General features: G+C 40.3%; 1 non-coding gene across 1 annotated transcript, besides 4 other annotated features; it reads right to left on the bottom strand.

Annotated features, from left to right (window-relative positions):
- Positions 8,019–8,580: an enhancer, noted in NCBI's record as "H3K4me1 hESC enhancer chr1:144539249-144539810 (GRCh37/hg19 assembly coordinates)". NCBI's record gives its function as "activates a minimal SCP1, AML or CMV promoter by ChIP-STARR-seq in naive H9 embryonic stem cells {active_cell/tissue: H9 hESC(naive)}" and the evidence as "EXISTENCE:reporter gene assay evidence [ECO:0000049][PMID:30033119]".
- Positions 9,173–9,744: an enhancer, noted in NCBI's record as "H3K4me1 hESC enhancer chr1:144538085-144538656 (GRCh37/hg19 assembly coordinates)". NCBI's record gives its function as "activates a minimal SCP1, AML or CMV promoter by ChIP-STARR-seq in primed H9 embryonic stem cells {active_cell/tissue: H9 hESC(primed)}" and the evidence as "EXISTENCE:reporter gene assay evidence [ECO:0000049][PMID:30033119]".
- Positions 12,921–13,925: an enhancer, noted in NCBI's record as "NANOG-H3K27ac hESC enhancer chr1:144533911-144534909 (GRCh37/hg19 assembly coordinates)". NCBI's record gives its function as "activates a minimal SCP1, AML or CMV promoter by ChIP-STARR-seq in naive H9 embryonic stem cells {active_cell/tissue: H9 hESC(naive)}" and the evidence as "EXISTENCE:reporter gene assay evidence [ECO:0000049][PMID:30033119]".
- Positions 13,637–13,798, bottom strand: LOC124904631 (U1 spliceosomal RNA). Its single transcript, XR_007067132.1, has one exon. It is a non-coding gene; the product is annotated as a U1 spliceosomal RNA (small nuclear RNA).
- Positions 13,919–14,249: a silencer, noted in NCBI's record as "fragment chr1:144533587-144533917 (GRCh37/hg19 assembly coordinates)". NCBI's record gives its function as "represses an EF-1alpha promoter that drives an FKBP-Casp9 reporter gene in an ReSE screen in HepG2 liver carcinoma cells {active_cell/tissue: HepG2}" and the evidence as "EXISTENCE:reporter gene assay evidence [ECO:0000049][PMID:32094911]".

The raw sequence follows: 25,082 nt of genomic DNA, 5'->3' as shown, positions 1-25,082 counted from the left end.
TTGAGCATGAGTAATCAAATCGTACGTGTTTCCTGAATACTATCATCAACTTCAAATCTTGAGTTAGAATATGCACTTAGAGTGAGTTGACATTGATGACAATGGATATAACCTATGTTTCAAAATGCTTTCCTGATGATAATGTAGAATTTTTTGGCTGACTCCTTGCCATTGTTTTCAACTTTGCTACGTGGTTGACAAGAGTATATACAACTAATTGAAGAAATGTAGCTCTGATATTTTATTGTTCTTGAATTATCATATTATCTAAATTTGGTATTTCTTTGTAGGAAATTTTTTAACCCACTTAACCTTTTGTGAAGTTAGTTTAGTCAAAAGTAGACAATTTAATCCTTGAATTCACTTGCCATGGTTAAGATGGCTGTGCCATTTAACAATAGCTGCAAGAGATCCTGTGAGTGGGGCTGTGGGAACTCCTCTGCCCTCTGCAGGGCCCACATTTCTCAGGAAACCAGTGACTTCACTTGCTATGCAAATCTCTGACATGCAGCCTGAGTGGGGAGTCCAGAATCAGTCTACATGTTCAATATTAGTAACACTTAGATATTTGCCAACTTTTTAAGATAATAGAAATAGATACAGAAATTCTCACAATTTATTTCCAGAACCAAATTGACTATTTTTTAAAGCCAATTTTGAATACTTTTCATCTTGTAGATCAGATAAGTCCATATTGCTTCTTGGTCCATACTGAGGGTTTGATTCTCTTGGATTCCTGAGGAAAATAGGCTCCCTGGCCCAGTAACTGCTGATGACCTCAAACTCTTTCCATCGTTGGAGTGCGGTCAACATCAGCAGTTGATGAAACTGAAAGTCAACATTTCACTTTAGCTTGTCCTGGAACTAAACTGAGAAGACGTCTTTGGAACTGGTCACACAGAGAGAAGTATCCCGGTGTGAGGTCAGATGCATGCACATTTCTCAGTGATGTGACTACACACTGTGAACTCTGAGACTGACGCTTTCTCCATAGTGAGGAAAAAGACCTTGTTGAAAAATGCCAGAGTACTATCTTGGAACCCCAGAGTATTCGCATGACTCAAATATCAAGGGCTGTTTTTTTTTTCTCCCCAAAATGGCTTAGAAAACAAAATGTATGGATCTGATTGTCTCGTATACAAAGGCATGTTAGAGTTTGTAACCTGTGTAAATGCTGTAATTAAACCCTTGTTTTTACATGGATTCATTATGTTAAATTCTTCAGTAATTACTGACATTTTCTTTAATGTGTACATGTGGCGAACATAAGAATATGATTAGATTGAGTTAAAAGTGTAAGCAGTAATGAGCATATTATGGGTCTCCCTTTGCCTTTGGTCACTCTAAGCTTCTTGACAATAAAGCTTGACTTTTTATAGATTTGCTGCACTATGCAATTTTCTGTAAGCAAATAAATGCATGTAAAGTAAAAATGACAACATTCATATACATATGTTGAATGGTACAGCTTCTCTTTACATTAGCTCCCCGAGTTACAACCTCTCCCCTTGTGTAGGTACAAGTCAGTGATTAAAGTGCAGAACAACTTCCCCAATACAGGAATCCAGCTTCGGAAAATATCTGTGCTGGAAAACTTGCAATGGAGGAATGGAAGACTTGAGAAAGGGAGGGCTGGGAAACAAGAGCTGTGACTCACCCTGAAGACATTCGTAAATATCTATTTTAATATCTATTACAATACAGCAATAAAGGCAAACTAAAAAAGGCTATACAAGGCATTTTGCACATCTTCATGTACTGGGTTCTCTGAAGCCCATTTCCTGTTAATATCTTTTGCTGGAAGAATCTTCTCAGGATCTCCCCTTCTGTCTGTTCCAACCAGACTCCCGTACATTCATTTTCGTTCCTCGTGGGTAATACACCCACTGAGAGACATGTTCCTTTGCTTTTTTTTTTTCTTCTTAGGGGGTTTCTCCACAAGATTCCTGGTTGAGTTGATGGAGTGAAGGTCTGTCTGTCCCCCAATTTTTTTTTTTTTTTTTTGGAGACAGAGTCTCACTCTATCCCGCAGGCTGGAGTGCAGTGGCGCTATCTCAGCTTACTGCAACTTCCGGCTCTTGGGTTCAAGCAATTCTCATACCTCAGCCTCCCGAGTAGCTGGGATTACAGACATGCACCACCATGCCTGGCTAATTTTTGTATTTTTAGTAGAGACATGGTTTCACCATGTTGGCCAGGCTGGTCTCGAACTCCTGACCTCAGGTGATCCGCCTGCCTTGGGCTCCCAAAGTGCTGGGATTACAGGCGTGAGCCACTGTGCCTGGCCTGTCTGCCACCTTTGATGGACAGTGTGACTACAGGGACAGAGGAAGATTCCCCAAAGGCCTGCACTCACCCCCTCTAATGCATGTCCAGACATCGTCTGGCTCTCAGCACTCCCCTCCATTGCCCAAAGCCCTTTTGCAGGACCTCTTCCTGTTCTGTCTGCTTTGTGCTTTGTTTTGTTGCATTTTATTTCCTTTTCTTTCCTGTTTCTAACCCAGTCATCTCTTTTTCTAATTATTCCCAACCTATATAACTCACATACACTGGAGGAAATATCTTCATGGAATTAAAACCACATGGAGTAACATTTCACGTAAGCAGAATTCAGGAAGGATTTCAGTAATTCCATCCCAAACACACACAGGCAAAGGGAGTGAAGATTTCTTCAGCAACATGGTGGCAGAAAGATCATGAAAAGATCTAGGCCAGGCAAGTATGCAAACAAGACTGACTCTTCCTTTCCACTGGAGCTTTGGGTAATTGCTCTGATAATTCTATGATTTGCTGAAGCCACAGAAAATCAGTTTTAAAACAGGATTTCTACCCCTGGCTCACTACATGACAAATAATTTTATCCTGTAATCTTCTGATGTTAAACAAAGATGGCCCTCAATGTAATTGTTACAGTGCCTCCTCCCCACTTCTGTTAGCTGTTGCTTCTCTGCCTCCCACGAGTTTAGTGTAATCCCAGAACTTTGGGAGACCAAGGAGGGCAGATCACTTGAGGTCAGGAGTCAGAGACCAGCCTGGCCAACACGGCGAAACCCCATCTCTACTGAAAATACAAAAATTAGCCAGGCATGGTGGCTTGCGTCTATAATCCCAGCTACTTGAGAGGCTGAGACACAAGAATCACTTGAATCCGGGAGGCAGAGGTTGCAGTGAGCTGAGATGGTGCCACTACACTCCAGCCTTGGAGACAGAGCGAGACCCTGTCTCAAAACAACAAAAAACAAAAACCGAACAAACAAAAACTGTAATTGCTGAAACGCTCTTTTTCATCAATCATATATATTGAACCAGGGTCACAAAAACATGGGAAAAGTGTAATTTCTGCCTCTGAGGAACTCACAGTCTAGTGGGAGACAGCATTTATTCATCCATTCTTTCATGAAATACACATTGAGAATGTAACACACCCTGGGCAAAGGAGAGGTCATTTGACTATGACACAAGACAATAGTCATAGTCTTTGCCCTCATGGAATTCACAGCCTAGCCATGGAGATTAAAAATAAAAAGATCTAATAGAATAAAGAGTAGTAGATTTAAAAACACTGGAAACCCATTGTGCAGTAAAACTAAAAAAGAGGGCTACCTAACCTAGTGTGAGAGGTGAGGTAGAGGTTAGGGTGAGAAAGGATGGTATAGGAAGGCTTTCTGGAAAATTTCAAGATAAATCTTGAGGATAAGTCAGAATTCTACAGGTGAAAAGTAGAATAGTGCCTGCTACCTTGCAATTGTTCAGCAAACATCTGCAATGATTACTAACTGTCTGTCAGTTTTTGGCTCTGCTTCAATCCTCACAGTCCAAGCTCACTGCAGTTAAATCTTCAGTCTCCAGCACTGCACTTGGGAAAGCGTCAAGGAGTTGAATGTATATGTAATTGGAGTGCCAGAAGAAGAGAACCGAGAGAGAGGGGCAGAACAGCTCATGAGGGGAAAACCCACTACATACAATCAAGAATACTGCAGACTCCTCATCGGAATCTATGTAAGTAAGAAAAAAATGGCCAGGAACTATAGAGCTGTTCTTTAAAGTACTTAAAAACATTTTTGCCAACCTAGAAGTCTTTAACCAGCAAAAATGTCTTCCAAAAAGAAAAAGACTTTTCAGAACAAATACTGAGCTGATTCATTATTAGCACATTTGCACTACATAAGTGTTAAAGAAAATTTCTTTAGTAAAAGAAATATAATACCAGAAGGAAAATTTGATCTATAAAAAAAGAAATTAAGAGTCCCAGAAATATATAAAAATTATGTAAAAATTTTTTGTTTTTTCTCCTTAAAAGATAATTGATTATTTAAAGCAAAAACAATAAAGTGTTATAGGATTTGTGGCACATGTTAAATGTATGCATTTGAAGTAAAATGTATGATAACGGTAGTGCAAAGACAGAAGAGAAAAACTGACTTCTCCTGCTGTACATTCTTTATACTCTACATAGAGCTGTGATAAGTTAAAGATGTGTATTGTAAACTCTAGATGAAATAAAAATTTAAAAAATAAAAATAAAATTAAGAAGCAAGATGGAACAAGTAGAAAACAAATGGAAAGATGGTGGATTTGATTTTAGTTTTATCAATAATTATATAAATTCAAATAATCTAAACCCCCAGAATTTTTAAAAATGGGAGATAAAAAAACAATAAATATTATGTATTATTTGTTATCATCATTATTTTATAAAGGGACAGGGCATAGATTTGGACAGAAATGGTAAGTTTTACAATAAGAAATGTTACCAGAATTGCATAACATTTCATGATGTTAGAAGGGTCAATTCAACAAGAAGACACAACAATACCAAATATTGCCCAACAATAGATCTTTAAAATATACAAAGAAGAAATATACAACAGAAAAAAGAAATGGATATATCCCGTTATTGTTGGAGATTGTAGATTCTAACCCATTTTTTTCAGTAACTAATAGAATGAGATAAGAAACCAGCAAAAGGATAGAAGAAAAACAATACTCTTAATCAGATTTACCTGATTGACTTTTCTAAAACAGTCCACTAAACAGCAATATAAAAGACATTGTTAGCAACTGCACATTTAAAACATTCACTAAAATTGATGATAATCTGGGCTATATAAACATGTCTCAGTACATTAAAAAGAATAGAAATCATACACAGTATGATCTCTAAGCACAACTAAATGAAACTAGAAATAAATAATTTCCAAATGTTCTGAAATGAAACAACACACTTCTAAAAATTCCTGAGTCAAGGAGGAAGTCACAGATGAACTTAGAAAGTATTTCAAAGAGAACAAAGATGAAAACAAAAACAGAATATATCACAATTTGTAGGATGCACTTAAAGTAGCCATTTGGGGAAATGTGATAGTATTACATGCTTATATTACAATGGGAAAAATTCTGAAATTTGTAAATTTCAAATCATTCATGATATGTCAAGTCTTCTCAACTTGTTTTTCTTAAGGACTGTTTTGGCCTTTATTGTGTAGTTTATAAGTTCCACAAAATGTATTGGGAATTTATTGGAATTTTGTCAAACGTATATAATTTTGTCAAACTCAAGCATAATATAAATATGTTTGAGAATTAACATTATTATAAAAGTGAGACATTTAACCTATGAACATAGTACATATCACCCCTCATTTTGATGTTATTATTGTACAAAAGTTTTATATTATTGTATATAAAGACTTCGTACACTATTTTTAAATTTATTCTTAAATTTTACACTTTTCATGAAATATGAAGTTAATCTTATAAATTATTATTTTTAACATTATTGCTGGTGTAAAGAAATACAATTCCTTTGGACAATGAATTTTGTATCTAGTAAACTCATTGAATTTGTTTATTAATTTAATTCATGTACAAATTTTTGGATTTTCTATTTAAATAATCATATTGAATGAAACTACTGCATTTTAATAGTTTCTCATTATTACATTTACATATTTACTCATCTTATTCCTAAACTCAAAGATAATATAGTTCACTCTTTAGTATAAGTACATTATAGATTTAGTGTAGTACAGGTACATTATGAAGTGTAATGTTTACTAAAGCTTTTCTGTAAAATCTTTCTCAGGCTAAGAACATTTTTTGTTTTTACTAGAATATAATAGTAACAAAACATATTCTAGAAAAGCGTAAAATTTACCAAATATTTAGATTTTTAATTTAAGCATCATGGAGAGAAATGACGCTCTCATGGTTGAAATGCAGAGGCTGGAGGCACAGATGTTCTTAGAGCTGCTATATTGTTTGAATCAACAGTGACGTATATAAGCAAAATTCCACAAAACCACAGATTTAACTGCCATTATTATTCAGAAGTATCTGGTGTTACTTCTGGTGTAACAAATGGACTATTGTTAGGATAAAGAATATCCATATGAAAAAGTGCTTTACATAAAGTAGAAACTTAAATAGTAACATAATCTGGGTACAATCCAACAATAATAATTAGAGCTTTGCTTTCCTGGAATACTATGTGCTAACCCTATTCTAAGGGATTTAGATAGAGATTTCACTGATTTCAAGAGAAACGTTTGTCTACTTGTTCAAATTTTAGTATCTGAAACTGCAATGTATCTTACATTAGATAAGCATAACTTAATTTCAGCATTATTTAATATTAGTGCATTAAAAAGTGTATGTCATTACCAATGGCATTTTAGATTTAGTGACATTTTGTATAATTTCATGAAACACTAGACACTATGGAATCAACTATAGTGTAAGGTCTACAAAAGCAGGAAATTCTATTTTAGTTACTCTTATAGGAGTCACTTGATAAATATATGTTGAATGAGTTGTCCAATGAAATAAATAAAGGCACAGCATTCTAGCATCATTCGGGGGGCAGTAGTTCATCCTGTGGCCTCATAACACTTGAGCAATGATGTGGACATCACTTGGAAATGCTCAATTTAATCAGGTATGTTCATAATGAGGGCTTCTCATTTTTCTGTGAAAATACTAAAATATACTGTCTTTAGGGAGGAAGCAAACAATGTAATAAAATATAGAAAAATAGTTAAGCATGATTCAAATTAAAAGCCCTGGAATTTATAAAAATAAGCTTCATTTGTTAGGGAAAAAATTACATTGTGTAACACTCTATTCCCCATGATTCCTAGTAAATAAGACAATAAACCCTTTAAGAAGAACTTTGTCAGAAACAAAGGATCACTATTTCCCGAAGAGCTGCAAAATACCATAGGCCAGAATTAATACAGGTGATAACTGAGGTCTTAAAAGCCATTTAGACAAGTTGAGTTGACAATGATCTAAGAAGGGCCAGGCCACTCTCCTGTGCCCCCTCCCTAAGCAGCTGCGCATTGCTTTGCTTTGACAACCTCCTTCCCATGCACCCCATCCCACACCCACAGCCCTGCTTGGAACTCTCCTAAGTTCCAGACTCACGTACTCAGCTGCCTCCTAGAGCCCTCTACCTGGAGACGTCCAGAACACTTTGAGTTCAGTATGCTCACAAGTGAAGTCATAAAGAGCCAAGAGTGCAGGATTGGGGTCAGGCAGCCCCACTTCTTAGTTATGCGTAGACTTCTTAGTTTACTTGACCCTCTTCATTTTCAGATTTCATTTCTGTAAAATAGCAATGGGCTTTGTAGAATTGCTTTTAGAGTATTGTAAGATAACTTAGGTAATACCTCTAACAAAGAGTCAAACAGATATTGGACATATAACCAATGTCTGGTACCGGCTTTCCCCTCCTTTCACAAGCTTAATGGCAATGCAGTTAAGTCAAGGACCTGGATCAGAATTACGGCATGAGGAACACACTCCATGTTTGTGCACACCCATTCCTGGATGACTTTTCAAGGGTCTTCTCTTTTCTTCCACCTGACAACAAGTTCTCCAACTTCCCTACTTGGAAGTGGCTGCCTGCCATGAGATAATCCCCTTTCTAATTTGTCCTCCCATGAACAATGCACCCAAGGAGTCCTTCCTCTTACTCCATGTCTCCTTGAGCCTGCAGAATGGAGCTCAAGTTTGCTAGAGCAGCCACGGTTCCCGCACCACCTCCCCTTCTGCCTTGCGGGCTGCCAAGCCTGCGTCCACCGTGCGCATGAACTCCAGCATCAGGAAGTTTCCTGCGTGTGCCCCGTGCTCCTATCTGGGCTCACGTGAACGTGCTCTTCTCTCTTTCTGAAATGCCCCTTTCCTTCGAGCGATTGTGGAAATCCTCCTCATCTTTTACAACTAGTCTCAGATGCACCCTCCTTCCCGAAGCCTCCTCCGAATGGCCTGTCTACACATGGCCCAAACTTGGTTTCAGATCATTAAAATAGAAGGACAAAAATGAATGGTGTGCAGGGAACACACAGACAGCCTGTGGCATGGTTGGAAGCTGTGGTCTGATCTATGGCGAGTCCTGAGACCACGACTGTTCTTTGATTTTTGCTGCAGCCCTGAGAACCCTGTGGGTCTGCTCAGGCATCTTGCTGCTCTTGCGATCGAGCCCTTTGTTTCTCTGCCTATCTTGTTTCCTGCTTTTCACTTTCTTGTTCTCACCTGGCTGATTTGTAAATAATAAAGTAACCGAAGTTAGACAATTCCAGCTACTTAAGATAACTGTGTTTCCAGGGAATCTGTTTCATGTGTAGAGAGGAAAAAATAAGTAGTCACAATCCTGGATTTTCTATGTGAATCAGTTTGCTTAGAGAGCAGCAGCTGTTAAAATATACATGTGATATTTGAGTTCAAACGGGAGCAGAAATTATACTTAGTGTGGGCCAAAGAAAGGCATTTCAACGACAGGGCTCTTTCATCTGGAGTGGCGTGCCTAATTCTGATTTAGAGAAAAGCAGGTCTGATCTTGTGCGGTGGAAAAGGAGGCCTGGGGCTGGGCATCAGAAAATCAGCTTTCAGACACTTCCTCCAGGTTGTAGCTGAGAAACTTGAGGCTCTTTAGTGAGATGAAAAAATAGTAGGCGTCTCATCCAGCACAGAACCATATTGTCACAGTGTACACACAGATGGCTGAAGGCAGAAAACACCACACCAGTTCAGTTCCCCCCAGTGAAACCTATCTTGCCTTGGTGGAAAGAAGTCACCAAATCTGAAGGTTTATCATGAACAGGCAAAAGAGTTTCACTTGTTTTCATGACTCAAAACATTTGGCTTAAACTGCATATCTCTCCATTTTAAATGTAAATTATAATAGGGAAACAGGAGGGAAATATGCAAGATTCTGGAAAACCTGAAGTTTCCATGTTTATCTTTTCTTTAGTTCCTTGCTCTTTAGAGTCAACCAACCCATTCCCTAGATATAGTTATAAAAAATGGCTGGGGTAAGAAAAACAAGTTCGGTGATATTTTTAAAACTGTATGCACAGTCACTTGGAGACCCTTGAATGATGTTAGGAGACTGAGCTTCCCATACTCACTGGGACACACACAGTTGCTCTTGTTTGTAAGAGAGGACGCTTCTGAAGTGTCATTTCCTCTGTTGCTAGTATCGGCCTGCCTTCCCCTTGACCCCTGCCTTGTGGCCACCACTGTATCACATGTCCACACCCTTCCTTGGCTGGGGCCCTGGAAGCCAGGGCATACTGAGTGGGACAGCTGGCAGGGGCTCGGGCTGGTGCGGTCACTGACAAAGAATCCTCCTCCGGCCTGTCAGTGGCAACTCTGCAGCTGTTGGCCCACATACCTGGCATACCTCCATCTCCAGGCAACTGCTGGGTGTGGGCAGGGATCCCAGCAGCACCCACTGGCGTCGGCTGCCTCCCACAATGCCAGCCCCCAGGTAGCCAAGAGGAGTCATCCAGGTGTCAGGGAGAGAAGCTGAGAGAAGCAGCGAGGGCGGTGGTTGTGGGAGAGAGGAGGAAGTTGGGAGGGTCACCCACACACTTACGGAAAGCTTGGTGCAAAGAGAAAGAGACCGCCTTTCAAAAACAGCCCTGCTCTACCATCCTGAACCTAGTCCCGATCATGCCTTGAAAAAATAGATTCCCAAGTGGGTCTTGCCTAAATAATGTAAGTGGACGTGGGAAAAGCACGGACTTGTCAGAGTTTCAGAAGGTTCCTTGCTGCTGGTGACTTTGGAAAACTCCCTTAACCAGCGTGAGCCTCCATGTCCTCCTCCAGAGCAGGGGACTGTGTACCTTCCCCCAGGGAGGCCTGGAAGGATTTTGTTGGGTTTTCCTGATAAACTCACTCAGTGGATGAAAGGGGGGATGTTTGTAAAGTTGTCATATTTATGTTGAATGTAAGATCACTGAACTCTCACTGATATGCAGAAATCAACCTTAACGAGCGCTATCTGCAACACAAGAGATTTGTTTTCATGAGTACACACCTAGACGATGAACCTGTGCACACGACTTCACACTCTAAAAATGTCTCTTTTTTATCTTGCAGTTCTTTAAATACTAACAAGAATGGTTTTTAAAAGTGTTTTCAAATGTGAAAAAATACATATGACATAAAATTGATCATTAACCACTTAAGATGTGCGCAGGTCAGTGGCATCATGCACGTTGACAGTGCTGTGAAGCCATGACCACCATCCAGCCACAGAACCCTTTCATCTTGCAAAATTCAAACCCTGCACCCACTGAACAACAACCCCATTTCTCCTTCCCTCCAGCCCCTGGCAAGCACCATTCTATTTTCTCTTGCTATACATTTGACTATTCCAGGTACTTTATATTACTTTTAATGGCAAAAACCACAATAACTTCGCACCAACCTAAAATGAGTTGAATCATGTAGTATTTATTTGTTTGTTTGTTTGTTTATTTTTTTGACTGGCTCACTTCGCTTAGCATAATGTCCATTGTTTATTATCAGCAATTACATTTTAAAATTTCTAATCTTAGAAAAAGAGGCATACTGTTGTCAATGAGAGGTCAGCAGTTTCAGAATATATGAATAGATGACAGACACAATAGACTTAAAAATTATTACCATTCGTTGTGCCAAGAAAACTTGCAAAAGTGTTCTTTCTCTGATGTAAGCATGCCAAAGGTCTGAATGTGTACACATGTGTGTTACTTCCCCCACTCCTCTTTTCTTTCATTTTTATCTTTACTTTTTTCTAGGTAAGGACCGATTTTATTGTGGGGTGAAAAGTAACATAGAACTGTACATTTTAAAGTGACTTGTATTCTCTATGTTAAGCTCAGTAAGTTGCCTCTGCTGCAGGTTGTAGGTATCTGTGTTTAGCCCTGCATTCTATCTGCCCATTTCCCCTGTCTTTAGCACAGCTTGCCTCTCCCCATCCCCACAACCCTGCCTAATTCTACTTGCTTTCTTTGACTCACTCATGAAGATTAAGTAGGTACTAAGTAAAATACAAGTATTTTACTTATATCTAAATCTCATGCCTTTTTAACAATATCAATATTACTTTTCTCACTTCAGAGATAAGGAAACTGAGGCTCGAAGATCTTATGTAACTGCCTATAACCTAGCATCCATCTCAATGGGCGTCAAGAACTAGATCGAGTGTGTTTTGAGACAAATCCCAGAGGCTGCCCCGCACAGGATGTGGCAATCATCACTGCCTTAGTCATCTGACTTTTGTTTTTGGTTTGTGTGCTTGTTTGAGACAAGAGTCTTGCTCTGTCACCCAGGCTGGAGTGCAGTGGCACAATCACTGCCTCCTGCAACCCTTGCCTCCTTGGTTCAAGTGATTCTCCTCCCTCAGCCTCCCAAGTAGCTGGGATTATAGGTATATCCCACCACACCCAGCTAATGTGTGTGTGTGTGTGTGTGTGTGTGTGTGTGTGTGTGTGTGTGTGTTTAGTAGAGATGGGGTTTCACCATGTTGGCCATGCTGGTCTCGAACTCCTGACCTCAAGTTATCTGCCCACCTCGGCCTCCTAAAGTGTTGGGAATACAGGCATAAGCCACCATGCCCGGCCCTGACTTTTGCTTTCTATTGGGCTTACCTGTGTATTCTCACACTCTCGGGAGAACTCAACACTCCTGAAGAACACAGCCCATGACTCCTCATTTCTGTCTCCTGGCAAAGGCTAGCACAATATTTTGTGCAAAGGTTTTGCTTTCTTAATGATAAGTGAATGAAATATGGAAAAGTTTTAACATAAAAATATATTCAAGTTAGCATTTTGCCTGAAATTTATACTTAATTACATCTAGGAAATTAAGTGTACATGATCAACATATATGTATATATCATTTTCCTATTTGAGTACTGACAAGATGGAGGAAAGGCAAGGAAAAGCTGGAGAATTTGAAATATGCACGAGGTCATTTCCGTTCCAGAAATAGGAGACATAAAGTAGAGGTCGAGATCATTGACAGTGGGCTTTCTCGAGTCGGGTAGAGAAGGGGTCAGTCCTTCCAGAGCTGGATCCAACCATGTGTGGCTCTCTACCCAAGGGTATCCACCTGCTCTCCATTCCCTCATCTGTCCACTGGGGTGCACACAGCACCTCTCATGGGAATTAAAAACGGTGGTGCCTAAGCAGCTTTCAAGGAGCCAGTGGCACTCGCTGCTCAGTGCACATGAGCTAGAGAGGAGTGGAGGCCTCAGCACAGGGCCTGGTACTAACTCGAGAGATATTTGTTGTGCCCTATACCCAGCAGATACTGAGTACATGCTCAATGTTGTCATTATTTTGATAGATATTTTCTTAAATCTGGATTATCATCCTTCAGTTTGGATAAGACAGACAATATTGATGGGTTGGGGTACTTTGTCAAAGAATGTAAAGAAAGATAATGTGAAGAAAGGCAATTTTGTGATTAAAAAGGAAGCTTTATTCTTAGATTTGTTAATAAGTGTCTCTTACTGAATTATTTGCTTATTAGGCAAAACAGTGATATCATTGAATCATTCTAAAATTCCTTCCCTTTTATGTCTTGAGGTTATGAACACAGGTAAGGCACCTCACCTGGCATGTGACAAACTCAACGAGACAATGAATGAAACAGAATAAATAATCATCTATTTTTTTTTCCCCCTGAACATTTCTACAGTTGAGACAGTCTTAGAATTTCTCTCTTGCATGCCAGGATATTAGACTGTTGAAATTGAATTCTTTTTTTTTTTTTTTTTTTTTTTTTTTTGAGACGGAGTCTCGCTCTGTCCCCCAGGCTAGAGTGCAGTGGTGCGATCTCGGCTCACTGCAACCTCCGCCTCCAAGGTTCACGCCATTCTCCTGCCTCAGCTTCCCGAGTAACTGGGACTACAGGCACCCGCCACGACACCTAACTAATTTTTTTGTATTTTTTAGTAGAGACGGGGTTTCACCGTGTTAGCCACGATGGTCTTGATCTCCTGACCTCGTGATCCGCCTGCCTCGGCCTCCCAAAGTGCTGGAATTACAGGTGTCAACCACCGCGCCCGGCTGAAATTGAATTTCTTTCTTTTCACCAACTCGAATTTCTTCTTCTCATGTAAGGTCATCTTACATAAGTGAGACTCCTTTGTTCCCTTTCCCTTAATAACAAGCCTACACGGAGGTGAAGGTGGTGAACGCACCTCTTCTCATCTCAAAACATCCACGTGCTCTTCCATTTTTTTCTAACAAAGAAGGGAGAGGAGGTGACATGAAAACACACCACGGATATTGTTCAGCATTTGTAAAAGCTGAAAGTATCACTTGGTAGACAAACTGCTTTTTGCACTACAACCTCCAGAAGAAAGCGCGAACGCAATTCCCCACCACCACAAATTACAGTCCAGTTTCCCCACATGTGGAAGTAACAGGAGTCAGTCAGCACATACTGAGTACAATGGAAAAACCGCCCCCGAAAAACACCAACTTCATGGCCGTATTTTCTCCTGTTACATAAGTATGAATGAACGCACCTCCGCCCTGCCACAGCTCCATACGCCTCACCCCTTACACGTACGGTCACTTGCCCCGCGCATTCCCCCACCCCGCCCCCATGCCGCCTCAAGTCCTCCTAGCCCTGACACACAGCTGGGACTATCACGTCCAACCGGAAGTCCTGGACTAGCTCCCACAGCACGAGAAATCTTTCCTGGCGAAGCAGCAGCCCCTGAGCTGCCTCCTCTGCATAGGAATCGCCCTATCTGTGATGTCACCGACAGCGCCTTTCCCGTCCCCGTCTGCTCTTCCGCCCCACCCTCTGCCACTCGGCCGACCAACCAGCTGCGGGAGCGGGCGGAGGAAGTGACACCTGACTCTACCTCCTTTCCCTCCCATCCCCGTCCCTGGTCTCTCCCAAAGAAGTAGGTTCTTAGCCTGTGATGCAAAGGACCCCTTTGGCGGCCAGCTGGAGCCTGTGCGCTTTTCTTCAAATAATGGCTTTTAAAGCTCAGACTAGAAAGTTTAGGATTACAAAGAAAAACGGTTCTTTTCACATACGGTTATCCTTGTGATGTAGCATTTCGCTTGACATTTGGAAGTCGTTCAATATCAGAGAGAAACCGTATCTATGAAACTAGAGAGGCTGCTCAGATGACTGCAAACCAGCCATCCTTACTTGTTTTATCACTAGGAGTATTATAAAGACGGTCGTCCAGTTTCATGAATCTTGTAGGGTTTTTTTCAGATACAGCAATGTACAAAAATGTGCTGCCCCAGCAGAGCACACTGGACATTCAGGCATGGTGCTGGAGTTTGTCATCTCTTCACTGCCTTCTCTAGACCTTAGCGCTTACCTCATGTTAACACTTTATATGCTGCGAAGACAGAAACACAGTCATCCAAATTTGGCAAAAATATTTGGGAGAAGTTTTATTTCAGGTGTTTAACTGATTACTTTTAATATGTAGACTACAACACCAAACTCTGAGAATACTCCACAGACTTATTAATGGTTTCCACCCCCGTCTCTGCAAATCTACCAGGCAAGTTTTTCCTGCCCTTTACTTTCATATAAGCTGAGTCACAGTCTGTAGTGGGTTTTGGGGGGAGTGTTACTGCCCAACAGGTACACCCTGCCTGCTGCCTAGACAGAGCCAATTTTTCGACACAGGGGAATTGCAATAAAGAGCTGCACTCTTTATTTGGTGATTGGGGGCCGGTGAATTGAGAGTTCTGCTTGGCCAGGTCGGAGATGAAATCACAGGGAGCTGAAGCTGTGGTCTTGTTGCTGGGTCAGTTCCTGCTTGGGGGCCACAAGACCAGCTGAGCCAGGTTATCAGTCTAGCTGGTGCCAGCTGATCCACTGAGTGCAGGGTCGGCAAAATATCTCAAGCACTGATCTTAGGTTTTCCAATAACGATGTGATCTCCAGGAACAATTTGGGGAGGTTTAGAATCTTGCAGCCAGAGGCTACATGACTCCTAAACCATAATTTCTAATCTCGTGGCTAATTTGTTAGTCCGGCAAAGGCAGTCTAGTCCCCAGGCAGGAAGGGGGTTTGCTTCGGGACAGAGATATTATCATCTTTGTTTCACAGCTAAACCATAAACTAATTTCCTCCCAAAGTTATTTCGGCCTGTGCCCAGCAATCAACAAGGACAGCTTGTACGTTAGAAGCAAGATGGAATCAGTTAGATCAGATCTCTTTCACTGTGGTAATTGTCCCAGTTGTAATTTTTGCAAAGGCGGTTGCAGAAGCAGAGGCATAGGTCTGACTTCTTTCACTCAGTCCTATGTCTATGAATTTTTCATGTTATTCATATGGTTATTTGGTTCTACGTGTATTCCTTTGTAGGAATATACATTAACTTATGTATTTATTCTACTGTTGTTGAACATGTTGACCTAAAAGAAGGAGGCTGAAGCACAAAATATAATTTAGAGTTTACTTGAGTCAACATGAAGACAACTGCCTGGAAGACTCACACCAAGGAAGCTTGGATCTGAGCTCCCTTTGGCCTTTGTCACAAGCAGGTTTTTATTTTTTATTTTTTATTTATTTATTTATTTTGAGACGGAGTCTCACTCTGTCGCCCAGGCTGGAGTGCAGTGGCGCGAACTCTGCTCCGCCTCCCGGGTTCTCGCCATTCTCCTGCCTCAGCCTCCCTAGTAGCTGGGATTACAGGCACCCGCCACCACGCCCAGCTAATTTTTTTTGTATTTTTTTAATAGAGACGGGGTTTCACCGTGTTAGCCAGGATGGTCTCGATCTCCTGACCTCATGATCCGCCTGCCTCGGCCTCCCAAAGTGCTGGGATTACAGGCGTGAGCCACCGCACCCTGCCCACAAGCAGGTTTTTAAAGTTCAAAAGCAGGGACAGACAGTGGGCTGATAGGTGCCTATCAGGAATTCTCATTGGTTTACAGAAATAACATTGCTTGGTGATTGGCTATATGTTGTTAAGTTATAGGGTATGGGGGTATAGGGATTGGTGTGGCATTATTAGGTTAATTTACAGCTACTTGAGGCAATAGCAAGCAGTTTCAACGGATGAATACATAGCTCAGCGCAGCTCAAAAGGAAGGAGCGGAAAGTGGTTGCTGTCTCGATTTAACGTCTCTCTGGGCCTGATCATTTGAAAGGGCTCACATTCCTCAGATAAAAAGTTTTTTTAATCTTTCTTCTTGAAAGCATCGATGATCAAAAGCTAAGTCAAGGGTGTCCCTCTTTGCCAGAAAGGCTCATTCCCGGATAGTCCTGTCCCAAGCAGGGGACAGGGGAGGAAAGAAGCCACCTCACTGAGGAATTTTTAAGAATGCCCAAAAGTCCAATTGAAAGGGCATTACAGCCAGGCATGGTGGCTCACACCTGTAGTCCCAGCACTTCAGGAGGCCAAGATACGTGGATTGCCTGAGTCCAGGAGTTCAAAACCAGCCTGGGCAACATGGTGAAACCCCATCTCTACAAAAAATACAAAGTTAGCCAGGTGTAGTGGCACACACCTTAGTCCCAGCTATTCAGGAGGCTGAGGTAGGAGGACGGCTTGAGCCTGGGAGTTTGAGGCTGCACTGAGCTAATATCACACCACTGCACTCCAGCCTGGGTGACAGAGTGAGACTCGGTCTTAAAAAAAAAAAGGGCATCATAGAGTGGCAAAAAAAAAAAAAGAGAGAGAGAGAGAGAGGGGCCTCAGTTAAGTCTACAGCTGCTGTCACTTATTGAATCATCTCTACTCTTCAGAATACCATGAAATTAGTTTTCCCAGAAGTAAAACGATGAGAGATACATAACAATAATGACATTGCACTTCATCATTCCATGCCCTTCGACATTTATAGGGCCATGGATGGTGATCTTTTCAAGAGACAAAAATAAACGCCGAACAAGTAAGTGCGCTATAATTTGAGTACATCAGCTTTTGGGCATTTAAACCATGGGTCAGAAATTTAGAGCAAGAGGGCAGGTTGGATCCTGATAGCAGGAGGGAGTGTTTTTCTTTTAACTTTCCAGTGGCATCATGGTGTTAACCACTGTTATTTCAGAGTGAAGAAACAATTTTTTGTTTGGTTGGTTTTGTACTTTTTATTTTTATTATAATTACTTTTTAAGACAAGGACTCTGTCTCCCAGGCTGGAATTCAGTGACAAGATCACAGCTCAGTACAGCCTTGACCTCTTGACCTCCAAGGCTCAATGGCTCATCCTCCCAAGCAGCTGGGACTACAGGCACACACCACCACACGCAGCTTATTTATTTATTTTTTGAGACAGGGTCTCACTCTGTTGCCCAGGCTGGAGTGCAGTGGCGTCATCAGGGTTCGCTGCAGGCTTGAACTCCTTAGCTCAAGTCATCCTCTCACCTCATGCTCCTGAGTAGCTGGGACTACAGGTGGGCACCACCACACCCAGCTAATTTGTATATATTTTATAGAGTCAGTGTTTCACCATTTTGCCCAGGCTAGTCTCAAACCCCTGTGCTCAAGTGATCCTTCTGCCTTGGCCTCCCAAAGTGCTGGGATTACAGGCAGTTATTTTGACAATACGATTACGATGGGTTAAACTGAGACGTGCGGCAGGAAGGTTAGGGTGAGTCAGACAGATTAGATAAACAGGTTTTGCTTGATATGACCCTGAGTTGCATCGTGAGTGCAATCAGGAGGAATACAGGTGAAATTTAGCACAGGATGTACCAATGGGTCATTATGGTCAAAAGTGGTTTGTGGTTTTGAGTGGCAAACCTGGAACCTTGTCAAATTTCCCACAGAGGTAATGGTTTGTGAGATTCTAATCAGAGAATTATCCCTCCCTGCTGTAATCAAATTAATTAGGGACAGTAAAACAGAAATCTGATCACAGGTATTCTGCTATGTATGTATGTATGTATATGTATATACACATACACGCAACAGGAGTAGTGTGTCATATCTTAAGAGAATATGCATATAGGGTGATTTTGCCAAAACCACCAAGAGACAACCCCTACAACTTAAAGGAGCCCTAATGGTGTATGTATTCCAGTCAGCAAAAAAGAGACTAACTCTCTCAGGCACGGTCAGCACTGGAATTGTAACTGATTATACAGGCCAGTATCTTGGGTGAAAGTGGACTACACCAGATGTCAGCTACTTGCCATCTCTGTCAGGAAGATTGTGAGTTACCTTTAAGTGAAAATCTCCACTGACAGATGTCCACTCTGGTAGGGTTGCCTTTTACAAGAGAAACATGAATCCATGTGTCAACGCCCTTAAGTTTACTGGCACAGATTGGTCAGTAATACCTGTCGTCAGTTAGGTGCAGTGGCCTATGCCTGTGGTCCCAAATATTTGGAAGGTTGAGGCAGAAGGGTGGCTTGAGCCCAGGAGTTCAAGGCTACAGTGAGTCATGATTGTGCCACTGCATTCTGGCTTGGGGAATAGAATGAGATCCCATCTCAAAAAAATATATAAAGTAATAATAATAGCTGATGTGGTCCCTTCCAACAGTCTTGGGGAGAATATTTTATTTGATGTTGTTTCCAGTAAACAACAACATCTCCAGGTTATAGGCCAAGATTTTTGATATTTTCATCTCCCAGGAGTTCATTATGAATGGAATTCTTTGTTAACGTTGAGTTCTTAGTAAGTTCTGTGAGATCTTAGCAGTAATGGAGAATGTCACCTTTAAGAAGTGCAGATTCATAAGCGCCTTCATCTAACCACTGCAAGGGTCTTCCTGTTATTATTTCAAAGAGGGAGAGTGTGGACATTTTCCACAACCAGTGGGAGATCCTTGTCCAAGAAAGGTTAAAAACTTCTGTTAGCTTTGCCAATTGAGTTTTTATTGTATCATTAGTGCATTCCATCGGCCCAGAGGATTAGGGGTGACAGGCACAATGGAAATGTTGGGACTTAGGCAAAAATGTTACAAATGGATCAAATTACCTGACCAACGAAGTGTGTTCCTCGGTTTCTATGGAGTTCAGATGGCACCCCCCATGAGGAATTACCTTTTCTAATCACAATCTACCTACTACTTGGGCTGTGGCTCATCAGCATGGAAATGCTCACCCCAGTGAGCATATACAAATTAGCACCAGAAAGTATCTGTGACCCTGAGATGGAGACAGCTGGATAAAGTCTAACTGCCATGTCTCGAAGGGTCCCAAAGGCAAAATGTCCCTGTGACCCATGAAGGGGTTTTCCAGGATTATGTTTGGGACAGACAGTATGGCAAGACTAAACATTTTCTGCAATCATAGGCAATGATTTTCAATACCATTGCTTTCCCCATGCCAACATTTTGTCTGAATTCCAATGAGTCAGCTTATGAAGTACTGTAAAAGGGTAATTGAAGCCTAAGGGATAGATCAGTGTATCATTGGGCCCATACCATATGACTGTTTCTGGAAGAAATTTGTTCCCTTTATCCTTCCAGAGATCCCTCTCCTGCTTGGGAGCTCCCACTTATGCTTCTTTTTTTTTTTTTTTTGCCAGAGTCTTGCTCTGTCACCCAGGCTGGAGTGCAGTGGTGCAATCTCACCTCACTGCAACCTCCGCCTCCCAGGTTCAAGCAATTCTCATGCCTCTGCCTCCCAAGTAGCAGGGATTATAGACATGTGTCACCACACCAGCTAATTTTTGTATTTTTAGTAGAGACAGGATTTCACCATGTTGGCCAGGCTGGTCTCAAACTCCTGACCTCAGGTGATCCGCCAGCCTTGGCCTCCCAAAGTGCTGGGATTACAGGCATGAGCCACCATGCCCAGCCCACTTGTACTTCTAATGAAGTCTTCAATGGGTCATAAGTCAGCAAGGTCATTTCGAGGAGTTCTGTGTCTGATGTCAACTTCAGAGCTGCATTCTTAGCTGCAGCATCAGCAAAATGATTGTCCTTGCTCTCCAGAATGTCTAATTTTGAATGAACACGAATTTTGATGATGGCCAAAATTTGGGTCTTCAAATTGCTTCTAAGAGGTCAGAGATTTATTGGTCATTTTTGATGGCTTGACCTGATGAAATCAGATACCTATGTTGCTTCTAAAGCATTCCAAAATCATCACCTACTCCAAATGCATCTCTGCTCCCAGTGTAAATGTTAGGCTGAGGTGGAAGGATTGATTGAGCCCAGAAGTTCATTCAGGTCCAGCCTGGAAAACACAGCAAGATGTCCTCTCTACAAAAAAAAAAAAAACAAGAATTAGCTGGGCATTGTGGCATGCACCTGTGGTCCCAGCTACTCGGGAGGCTGAGGTGGGAGGATTGCTAGAGCTGAGAGGTTGAGGATGTGGTGGGCCATGATGGAGCCACTGCACTCCAGCCTGGGTGACAGAGTGAGGCCCTGTCTCAATCAATCAATCAATAAATCTTAACCACTTAAAATACCAAAGACAGATTTGCTTGGCCTTTTAAGTGCATTGCTGAATTCTCCAATCTACATTTTTGGGAACAACCTGGGGAATGGCAACATGGAGGTATTTGGCCAAAATGCAGACCCTTTCATTGTCTGCTTTACTCTGTTTTTAAAAATCCTCTAAAGAATTATTCCAATTCGCCCTTTTCAACCATTTAGTGGCCCTGCCTTCTTACACCACATGTGAATTAATTGATAAAAATCATAATATTCGGGCTAAAAGTTTGGACAATTAAGTCAAATTTTCTCCCAAACCCTATAGGATCTTGGAGGCTGCTTTAGAATTAGAAGGGGAAATTGATTTAAATTTCGATCAGGGAAGTCTTTTTTATTTTTTATTTATTTATTTATGTATTTTGATACAAAGTCTTGCTCTGTCACCCAGGCTGGAGTGCAATGGTGCAATCTTGGCTCACTGCAACCTCCACTTCCCGAGTTAAAGCGATTCTCCTGCATCAGCCTCCCGAGTTGCTGGGATTGCAGTCATGTACCACCATGACCGGCTAATTTTTGTATTTTTAGTAGAGACGGGGTTATGCCATGTTGGCCAGGCTGGTCTCGAACTCCTGACCTCGGGTGATCCACCCACCTCAGCCTCCCAAAGTGCTGGGATTACAGGCATGAGCCACTGCACCTGGCCTGGTTAAAATTTTTTAAATGAGAAGTCATAAGATCTGGTTACATCAGTCTATATGTTTGTGTATGTGTACATGTGTGTATCTATGTTATTATGTTATGTATATGTGATATTTTTCTACCTCCAACGTTATTACCAAACTAAAATACCCAAATTGGCTAGGGATAAATGAGCACTCAAACAAATAAGAATGTATAAAATTTTCAGAAAAGTAGAAACTGACCCAATTTTTTTTAAGTTCACATAATCTGGGATATTCTTTAGTAAATAAAAACTAGTTTAAAAAATATTGGTAAAATAAAAATAGAAACATTTTCAGAATTGTCAGCATACACTTGTTTTACCTGGCTTTGCTGATTAGACAAGTTTGTGTTGTTACTGTTAGATGTTTAAGGCCATAAAACCATAAATTCAACCTAAGAGTAGAATATGTAGTAAAAGTAAATTGCTTAATTGTCTGGTGTATGTCTGTTGCAAAAGTAAATAAGAAAAGATGTCTAGAAGGATTGTGAAAATCTTATCTTGTATGGTCTAAGCTGACTGAGATTGGATAGATTTATTTATAAGGTTTTATTAAAACTTAGTTTTAGTAATACATTGATTCAAAAGTAGAATTTGATCTTCTCCGTTAAAATGGTAAAGTTTTCTTGGAATGTTGGTCTGAGAATGTAAAGGGTATTTTTTTCCTTTTAAGTAATTGGCCTCAGAAACAGAGACTGTTTCATCAAGATAATTTCTTGAGTTTCATATTGTTTTATTAGGTTTTTGGTTACTTAAGAAAAGTGAGTCTTCTCAATATTAAAGGAGCTAAGTTCTTGTTCACAACTATGTAATCTGAATTTGCCTTTAAAATCTTTTAATGGAGCTTTTATTAAATAGATAACTATGGTCATATTTGTTTTAAATGTTTTAAACTTTTTGACATTTTTGACAATCTTCCCAAAATCACATTCTAAGTTAAGTCTTTTTGACCTCAAATTAACTTAGGATTATCCATATTGGACCCTCAGAAAGCCACAAAGAATATTTTTTTTTGTATGAAAGAGAGATTAAACCAATTAGATTCATTTAATATGCTAAATTATATGTGTAGCATTCAAATAAAAAGTGATGCTAAGCCATCTTTAAGTTATATTTATGGATATATTATTGGGATAAGTGTACAAAAGTTGTATGAGATTCCTAGAAATCTAGTATGTTATCAGTCATAATTTTGGTTATTATGTTAAAATGCTGTATGCCATGCTAACCAAATTTTCTTATAAATTGTATCATTGCAATGAACTCTCATTAGATTTTCTAACCATGGACATTTTAAGTCCTTGTCATCTGTAGACAGTCATTGTTTTAATTTAATTGTTCTCTAAAAGCATTTGAAATTAGCTACAGTCCAAAATGGCTTCTTCTTCAAGGAGATTTATGGAAAATACTCTTATGAGTATTCTGGAATACAGGTTTCTGAACAACTTTAATGTCATACAATTGGACTGGTAAGAATTTCCAGAACTCTAATAAAACTGATGGGTTCATGTAACTACTAACCCAAGATCAAGCAAAACAAGAATGAACTGATGAGAATAATTTTTAAAATGACTTTTTGTTGGAAACATTGCTAGTTCTTTAAATGTTTTGTTTTCCAGATTTCAGAGAACTTTCTTTTAAGCTATCTCTAGCTTACACCAATTCAGTAAAGAATACTTTTGTGCAAAATGGAAATATTTACTTTTTCACCCTAACTTATCCCTCCAGAATTTGGAAACTATTTGTGCATATTCTTATTTTTATGGCAATGTATTTATTTGCATAAGTTTAATAAGAATCTGTTGTCTTTGTAACAGGACAAACTGGAAACACAGGTTATATCACCAAGGCTTTGACTGAAACATCATGTTTTCAGATATGACCAGAAGGCTTTGGGGGACTAAGGTTGGCTTTATGGAACCAATAAAGTACCATCTTGGAAAAACTGGCTCTAGGGTTCCCAGACTTACAGGTAAGTAAAGAATGTCACTGCTTGGTGGGTCTGGAAACCTTGGGATATTTTAGGGACCTCAAGAAGAGAGAAATTTATCTAAATCTATAAATGTAACAGGTGCAGACTAATGACAAGTTTTGGGCTTGTATCCCAGCCTCAAGTGGCTTTTAAAAGTTTAATCTGACTGGAGACAGTGGCTCACCCCTGTAATCCCAGCACTTTGGGAGGCCAAGTCAGGTGGATGACGAGGTCAGGAGTTCAAGACCAGCCTGACCAATATGGTGAAAGCCCTGTCTCTACTAAAAATACAAAAAATGAGCCAGGCATAGTGGCACGCACCTATAATCCCAGCTACTAGGGAGGCTGAGCAGAAGAATCGCTTGAAACCAGGAGGCGGAGGTTGCAGTGAGCCAAGATCGCACCACTGCACTCCAGCCTGAGAGACAGAGGGAGACTCTGTCTAAAAAAACAAAAACAAAAAGTTTAATCTGAGATTTCTTATCTGACAAACGCAACTTTTAAAAGAGCCTAAATGGTCAATCACTACTCTTAACTGCACTTGTGTACATAACCAGTACAAGTTTAATGAGATTAAACTTATTTAGCAAACAAATCAATCTGACATTGATTATCTTTGACAGAAATGAGAGTGAATATAGAGAGAAAAGTTATGTTTCGGGAGAAAACTGCAGTGCACCCAATATTAGATTCTAGCTGTTTTTTTTTTTTTTTTCTGAGGTTTTATTATCTGCCTGCAATCTGCAATAGATCCTCAATTTTTCTAGTTTACTACAATATTTAGCTACAACACTCCAAATTAATATTTCATTTTTTTCCTGCTATTCTGGCTTGGAATCACTAAAATTATAAACTTTTCATTTCTTGAAGTCCTTCAAACTGAAACTGGATGACTTGACATAAGCTTCAGAAAAATTACCACAACAGCTTGTGTGTGGCCCATCTTTATGGCATTCAAACTGCAAACTAATCCAATGCCTCTTCTCACACCAGCTGAAGATACTACAAGCCCAGCATCTAGAAATCTTATTGATCAGCTGCCCTCTGGGCTCAGAAACTGTCTTTATAGTTCGTTCCAACTATTAATCTTTTTTAATTTTATTTTTATAGAAACTAAACTTCCCACATTAAAGGCCTGATAGCTCACACTATCCAGGAAATATCCTCTGCTACCAAGTCCCAACAGATGATTCAACTGGTCCTTAATGAATAAAAGGTGATCAAACAAGAAAAGAGACTTATATTGTTTGAAGGAAAGATGAATGTCTCTTCTTTCCTTAAACAAGAAGTAGTACTAACAAAGATTCCTTGCTTGGCCAAACTTTAGTCAGATGTCTATCTTCCTTGCAAAATCCAACTTTTTTTTTTTTATGTGGTACAATGTGATGTTTTGTTCTTTTTTTTAAATTTATTATTATTATACTTTAAGTTTTAGGGTACATGTGCACATTGTGCAGGTTAGTTACATATGCATACATGTGCCATGCTGGTGCGCTGCACCCACTAACTCGTCATCTAGCATTAGGTATATCTCCCAGTGATATCCCTCCCCCCTCCCCCCAACCCACAACAGTCCCCAGAGTGTGATGTTCCCCTTCCTGTGTCCATGTGTTCTCATTGTTCAATTCCCACCTATAAGTGAGAATATGCGGTGTTTGGTTTTTTTGTTCTTGCGATAGTTTACTGAGAATGATGATTTCCAATTTCATCTATGTCTCTACAAAGGACATGAACTCATCATTTTTTATGGCTGCATAGTATTCCATGGTGTATATGTGCCGCATTTTCT

Source organism: Homo sapiens, chromosome 1 (assembly GCF_000001405.40).
Source record: "Homo sapiens chromosome 1, GRCh38.p14 Primary Assembly".
In the NCBI taxonomy this organism is placed as follows: Eukaryota; Metazoa; Chordata; class Mammalia; order Primates; family Hominidae; genus Homo; species Homo sapiens.
The sequence above is the reverse complement of the archived record's forward strand: the minus strand, read 5'-3'. Positions and strand labels throughout refer to the sequence as shown.